Genomic DNA, 7892 nt, shown 5'->3' with positions numbered 1-7892 from the left:
TTTTAACTTCAGTGGTAGATGTACAGGTTTGTTATGTAGGTAACTCATGTCATGGAGGTTTGTTGTACATATTATTTTTTCACCCAGGTATTAAGCCTACTACTCATTAGTTATTTTTCCTGTAAGATCTCAGTCTATTACTGGTGACTTTGTTCATGCCTGTGACCTCAGGTTTTGTTGGTAAGCGGGCAGGGATTTTCAGAGATTTTAGGACCCCGTATATATACAAAGCAGCACTAAGTTTGGCTTCTCATTTGTACTTAAGAGCCCAGCTACAATCCTCTCTATATGTGGGAACTGAAGTTTTGGCTAGTTTTTGCATGTAGCATTAAATGTTTAAGCTACTAATGCATATACCCCTACTCTCCCAGAGGCAGTGTGGCCTCTTGCTCATTGCTGTTGCTCTGGGCTTATTTTTCATTTCTGGCCTCTGAATATTTCTCTTTCTTGCTTTATCTTTTTTTTTAATAGTTTTAATTTATGTTAAATATATTAGCCAGCAATGCTATGTGTCCAGCATAAGAACAAGGACTTCTGTTCTATTAAGTCTGGCATTTAACTCAGAGGTCTGGAATTCCTATTTGCTCAGTTTCTGATTCTTTTTAAGTGTCTTCTTTTTTATGCTTCTCCTGCCAAAAGCTATTTTTTTGTTCTATGTTTTCCTATTCAAATTCCAAAGGAAGATGATCTAATTGGCCTTTTCAACAGCCATTGCCCCTGTGAGCAGATATTTCATACTAGACTACTTTGTATGGTAGCAGCCAGTGAATGAATTTGCTGCTCTCGGACCAGTCCAAATTAGTGAACTCACTCAAAGAACAAACGACGTCAGCTTTTCTTAGTAGAGGTGGTAGGTTGGGATTTGAAAAGGTGTTAGGGGTGGTAGGCACTGTCATTAACATATCTAATATATCTTGTAATATAAGGTTTCAACTAATGGAATGAGTAATAGCTTAGATATCACTTAAGAAATAAGAGTATGTGTCACATAATAGATATGTAAAATTATTTGTTAAAAGAGTACATACATCGATGAATGAATTACCTGTGTTTTCATATGGGCTCTTCATTAATTTGATTTGAGCAAAGTTCTCTGTCCCTCAATTTCCCAAATATAAAATAGTGGGAATAATATCAGTTCTGCCTACCTCACAAGTTGTTATGAGAACAGAATCACAAGGAGGTAGACTATGTGGAAATATTTTGAAACTATAAAGTGTTATATAAATGTGATTTATTGCTATTGCTATTGCCATAACATAACATTTTAATTCAAAAGAGTTAAACAGACATTTTAACTCACAAGGCCATCTTGATAGTCTTATAATCTGTAATGACAAAATAATACAGCTTATTAATCATCAAACAGTTCTTGATCACATTTCATCATCACAGTATGTCAATGATATAAAATATAAACAACCACTTAAGAATCATGTTTATTTGAAATGTTATGAGGGAGTCTTATTTGTGTGGAAAATTTATTATTTTATTTTATTTGTGACGGAGTTTCCCTCTGTCGCCCGGGCTGGAGTGAAGTGGTGCGATCTTGGCTCACTACAACCTCCACCCTCCTGATTCAAGCGATTCTCCTGCCTCAGCTTCCCAAGTAGCTGGGATTACAGGCGTGCGCCACCGTGCCCGGTGAATTTTTGTATTTTTAGTAGAGATGGGGTTTTGCCATATTGGTCAGGCTGGTCTCGAACTCCTGACCTCATGTGATCCACCTGTCTTGGCCTCCCAAATTGCTAGGATTATAGGCGTGAGCCACCGCACCCAGCCTGTGTGGAAAATTTAGATGTTGAAGCCGGATTTATCTGGTTTTCAAATCCTGGTTCTGCCACTTGTTATCTGTTTTATCTTGAACAAGTTAGTTTTTCCGAATTTTGGTTTTCTCATCTATGAAATGGGGATAATTATCCTGCCTCTTGTTGTCTAAATGGTATAATGTATGTGAGTGAGAGTAGGTGGATCCTACTACTTTTCATTACCCTTTCTTTCTCCAGCCAGTCCCCTGCGGCCTCCCACACACAACACTTCATAGCAATTTCAAGGTCAGATAGATTGAAAAGGACTACCTAGTAGGAAGAAATATTTATTTTTAAAGGAAATCAATGTCCATAAACACAACTATTTATAAAGTACATAGTTGTGGCTTTTTTCATAGTTTTTATCAATTAAGCCATGTGAAATGTGCTCCAAGAGATGAGTCACTGTCTGCAGTTATTTAAACTTGATGGCCCGTCGCTACAGCCTGTCTCACGCAATTAATGTAATTCCCTGAATAGATCAATGTAATTTTTTGAATCAAATATCTAACCTAGAGTTTTCCAGATTAAGGTTTGCATAATAAAACAATATAGTCTGCTATGGACATGCTATTGAGTATGATTTTGTTATAATTCCAGAGGAAACGGTTGTGTTATCTTCATGACTTCTCTTTTAATTCTTCAAAAGACTGTATGTTTCACAAACATAGCTAATGGGATATGTTTTCAATTTGTTTTTCAAAATTTGAAAATAATTATGGGCCAGGAGCAGTGTCTCACGCCTGTAATCCAGAACTTTGAGAGGCCCAGGCAGGTGGATCACTTGAGGTCAGGAGTTTTGAGACCAGCCTGGCCAACATGGCAAAACCCCGTCTCTACTAAAAATACAAAAATTAGCTGGGCATGGTGGCTCATGCCTGTAATTCCAGCTACTCAGGAGGCTGAGGCACGAGAATCGCTTGAACCTGGGAGGCAGAGTTTGCAGTAAGCCAAGATTGTGCCACTGCACTCCAGCCTGGGCCACAGAGTGAGACTGTGTCTCAAAGAAAAAAAAAAAGGAAGTAATTATGCACTGTACTTGCAAAAGTTTTCTCTGTGCCTTTTGTGTGTAACATTTTACTATTCTGTTTTGGATTGTTGCTGAATTAATGATAATTGATTAATTAATTGATTTATAGCTCTGAATAAAAAAATTCAAATTCCTGAATAAAATATATTGAAAGCTCTTCCTAACGGTAATTGATTTGATAAAATATAATTGGAAGCAGACTTTCTTTGAAATATTTTGACTTTAAACTTTTCTTTGTTTCTCTCAAGGGCAGGTTTTGTCTTCAGGCTGTGTGACTTGTGTTGAATATAGGCACTGTCATAATTGAATGAACCTTTAATTGTAGACTTTGGGTGGCTTTCAAAAGGAAGAAAAATTTCTCCCTAATTATCTTGGACTAATTATCTCTGCATTAATGGTTTGACTGCTGTTATTCATTATATGGGAAGCATAAATAGAAGGTTAGAGCTAAGGAGAACAGTTGTAGGCAAGGTCTTTTCTCACTCTCTGAGACTTACTTTTCTGTGATGGATCCAAGAGGAGCTTGGGTTTTGATTATTGGACACTGAAATTCTGATTCCATGATCATATAAAGTGATTTTATTAGTTGTTATATATTTATATGATTCTATACTTTTCTTTTTCTGACCTTGCCTTCTCCCCTCCTAAGCACTACAACACTTTGACCCAGCCCTCTAGGACTTATGATCAGTCAAATAAAACTTTTGACATCCCCTATCTCTCCTCTGTAACTTTCCTTCTTTTCTTATTCTAATATAAACTGGTTTGCCCTTGAAGATACTGTTTCTCCTCTAGCTCTCTCAGGTAGCTACTGTTTTCTTCCCACACCCCTTCACAATTGATGTGGCAGTAAAATAAACATCGTGCTTTCCCATTCTCTTGCTAGACCATTGTCATTCCCTCCTCTACAAATTTTTCCAACTTTAAATTTGATATAAATCATCCATATTGCCACCTGAATGCAATCAGGAATTGCATCTCTGAATGCAAAAAAATCAGTCATCTGCTATCCCTGATCCCTTCTCCTTATTTCATGATTTGAAAACCTTGTTTACTGACATTATCTCATTAATGTTGCCTTAGTTGTTGGTGATTGAAATATTCACATAGGTTATACTTCTGATACTTTGGCATCTCAATTTCTTGATCTCCTCCCTTATAATGGTCCTGTTTTCAGTCTACCTCACTCCCTCACTGCCACTATCTTACACTTAATGTTACGATGCTAGAATTTCAACTTCTTCATGAGCTCAGTTTCCAGCATCACATTCACTCCATCAACTCACCTTCCTAGCACACTTGACCTAGTACTGTAACTCCAATAATCCTTTGACATGACCGGGCCTCCAATCTATTGTTATTACCATGTTTCACAATTTCTAAACTCTCTTACGTCCTCACTTTACTCTTATATGGCTTAAAGTCCGCAGCCAATCAACATAATCATGCCTTGGCATGCATTTTCAGTTCCCACCCTGGTTAAACCCACTTCTCCACCTACTTACCACCTGCATATGTGCAGACAAATGTGATGGAGAAAAACACAAAACCATTCAGACTGGTCTCATATCAATTATACGGCCACTGTTCTCATTTAGACTCTCATTATTCTTCAGAAATTGTAACACATTGCCCTAGAATACTCACTCTCTGAATTTTCTAGATGACTATTTCATACTTGTCTCATATCTGATATCCACCACATCATCTTTCATACCCACTCTAGTCTGATTATCTTGATGATTTTTTTAAATTTGGAAATCAACAGAAGAGACTGCATTCTATCATCTTTCAGTTTACTTCAGTAGCCTTTCAACTTTGTTTTGGTTTTTCTCTAGTTATTCTCCACAAAATAGACGCAGTTATCTTGCTAAACTATAAGGTAGGCCATGTTACAACTCTGCTCAGATCTCACCAAGAGATCCCAAAGCTGGATATCTTCTGTGTCCCCTAGATCCTTTTTATTCTTCTCTACCCTGTTTTATGTCATAGGACACTGCACTTTTTAGGTAGCATCTGTCAGACTTTTTGATCTCTGGATTATGGTTGGATTCAACAGTGAGGACACTAGCCAGAGATTGGTGGGCAGGAGAGTAAGACCTAGGTATTCCCCTTGCTTCTATCTGGCCAAATGTCGGCTGTATCCCTCTGTGGAAGACCACAGCTGATGCCCCATTGCCCACTCCATGAAGATATCCCTGTTTTCTTATAACTACTCCATCCTCTTGCCACTTTAGGCCTAGGGAATTGATGTTTCCAACTATACTATTACTGGGTACTATACTGTCTCATATTGGGTTTCCTAAACTTTGTCCACACATCTGAAAAGAAAATTATTAAACTATTCTTACATACATGGTATATGTATGCCATATGTTTACTTCTGGGGCTACAGAGATAGATTTGCCACTTCATGTGGAGCTAAATGAAAGGTCCTTACCGTGGCCTACAAGGACATACATTAGTGCCACCTCACTCTAATACCTCTGACTTCATTGCCTACTCTCCCACATGATCCATGTATACTAATCACAGGATTCCTTGCATTGGATTTTTGACATCTTACAGCTTTTACACTTGCTGTTAAGTCTGTTTCTTCTCCCCCATCCTTAAGATCTTCACTCAAAAGCCGCCTTTGGAGTGGGGCCTCCTAGGAATACGATTTGAAATTGACAGCCCTTTGCCAGCACTCTTCACTCCATGTCTCTTTTTTATCTATCATATAACAAGCTCTATATTTTACTTATTTAGTTTCTTTATTATCTGTCTCTTGCCACTAAAATGTAAGCTTGAATAGAGGAAGGAATTTGTCAGTTTTATTCACTGATGTGTTTTCCTGGTTTCTGTAATAGTTCTTGGCCTTGAGTAGGTACTCAATATTGTTGAATGAGTGAATGAATAAAAATACAGGAAAGGCCAGGTGCGGTGCCTCACACCTGTAATCCCAGAACTTTGGGAGACCGAGGCGGGTGGATCACCTGAGGTAAGGAGTCAAGACAAGCCTGACCAACGTGGAGAAACCCCGTCTCTACTAAAAATACAAAATTAGCCGGGTGTGGTGGCACATGCCTGTAATCCCAGCTACTTGGGAGGCTGAGGCAGGAGAATCACTGGAACCCAGGAGGCGGAGGTTGCAGTGAGCCGAGATCACACCATTGCACTCCAGCCTGGGCAACAAGAGCAAAACTCCATCTCAAAAAAGTAAAATAATAAAAATAATAATTAAAAAAACCAGGAAAAATGCTATAGGGGATTTAATAGGAAAGAAAATATTTTCTGCTGGAAGTATCAGAAAAATTGTGTTTGAACTGTACCTTGAGAGTGAACGTGTGAGATGAGTAGGAGGGTTTTCCCAGCAGTAACAGCTTGACCATGGCCACAGTGATGGAAATGTACTCAAGAAATGCCAAGTCATTTATTTGAATTGGGATGTTGAGCGCATATCTGGAAGCGCAAAGAACTAAGTTTTTGAAGATCGGCTAAGGCTAGAGAATGGAATGTCCTAAATTTGGACTAAAACAAACCAAAACAAATGTATCTTTTAGGAAGTAAGGGGACACAGTCTTTGAGAGTTAAAGTGTCACGGTCAGTGTGACCGTGACACCAAATCAAGAAAGATTGATTTGGTGATGGATGTACAGAGTTTGAAGGGGAAAGAATGGAGTGATTAAGGGAAACTGAAAGCTGTTTTGAGAGATTATGAGCCCTGAACTGCAGCAGTGGTGATGAGCCTGGGAAGAAGGGCTGCAGGTTGTGTCATTCTGCAGGAGTTTACTGACCCATAGAGGACAATATACACTATTCAAGGCATTTGGAAGAGCCGATCTCTTAATTACCGACTGTACCTAAATCAACACAGTACATTATTTTATTTTTGCCATATCATTTGTATTTTAAATAAAAAAAAGATTGCTTTTTTCTCTCGGAATTCATTAGCCAGAGACACTCTGTGGTACACTGTAGGTAGAGAGTATTTATCAGAGCTTAGTGTCCTGTCCTTTTGGGCCTATTTAATAGCAAGATCACAAACAGAACATCTGCCAATGAGCATGGTGCTGATTCTAGCATCAGCTGTTATGCAGATAGAGAAGAGCAGGGATGGAAGTCCTTAATGTGAGGGTAGCAGCCAGGCCAGGGACGGCACAGCTGGGGCTCTTTTCACCCCTACTCCGTCACAGACCATCTGTCCTGAAGTAATGCCAAGGGCCAAATTTAGTGGTGCTGGATGTGGTGTTGGAAGCCTCTGGATTCCAATATTGAAATTCATTTCATACAGTAATGAGCAAAAGACTAAAATGGTGCCTTTAATAAAACATTACATCTGTGATAGAGGGGAGATGAAACAAAGAAAGATGCAAGGTTTTATTACTTAGATCCTGATGAGAGTCGCCATGATAATTAATTTATTTAAGAAAACATTAATAGAAAAATTGCCACGTACTAATCACTATGCTAAGTGCTCAGATTAGAGATTCAATAAATAATATTTCTTCATGGGAGCTTACAGAACAGCAGGTAAAACAGATATGTAGCAATTTATAACTTAACACCAGAAGTCTTAGGAATAATACAAGGGTAAGAAACATCTAATTCTGCCTGGGAAACATTGGAAGGGTTTAAAAACATTTGGGCTGAACTTGAATCATTGTAAAAGTTCTATGTGGAGGGGAAAAGGAGCAGGCATTCCAAACAGAAGTAACTTTGACAAAGCATGTGGGCCATAAAAGTACTTGGCATTTTCTACGAACAGCGTGGTCGTGTACGTGTAGCTTATATTCTTGGGATTCTTGAGGAGAAGTAGGGGGAGAAAACTGTGACCTTTTGAGGAAGCAATTGACTCAGGAAGAGTAGAAAAGTGGGGGCATCTGAGATTTGGTTTGATTTTGTGCAACTCAACTAGCATTTTATGCACTTATAGGGAATTCCAGCCTCTTTAGATATCTGATTCTGCACTACCTGAAAGGGGTCATGGATTGTGCCTTGATACCCACAGAAACTTCACTATTTTTACACAGACTCCTAGAATACCAGAGACGGAAAGCCACATAGAGATC

This window comes from Homo sapiens, chromosome 3, assembly GCF_000001405.40.
Source record: "Homo sapiens chromosome 3, GRCh38.p14 Primary Assembly".
NCBI classification, from domain to species: domain Eukaryota; kingdom Metazoa; phylum Chordata; class Mammalia; order Primates; family Hominidae; genus Homo; species Homo sapiens.
This window is presented reverse-complemented; position numbering follows the sequence as displayed.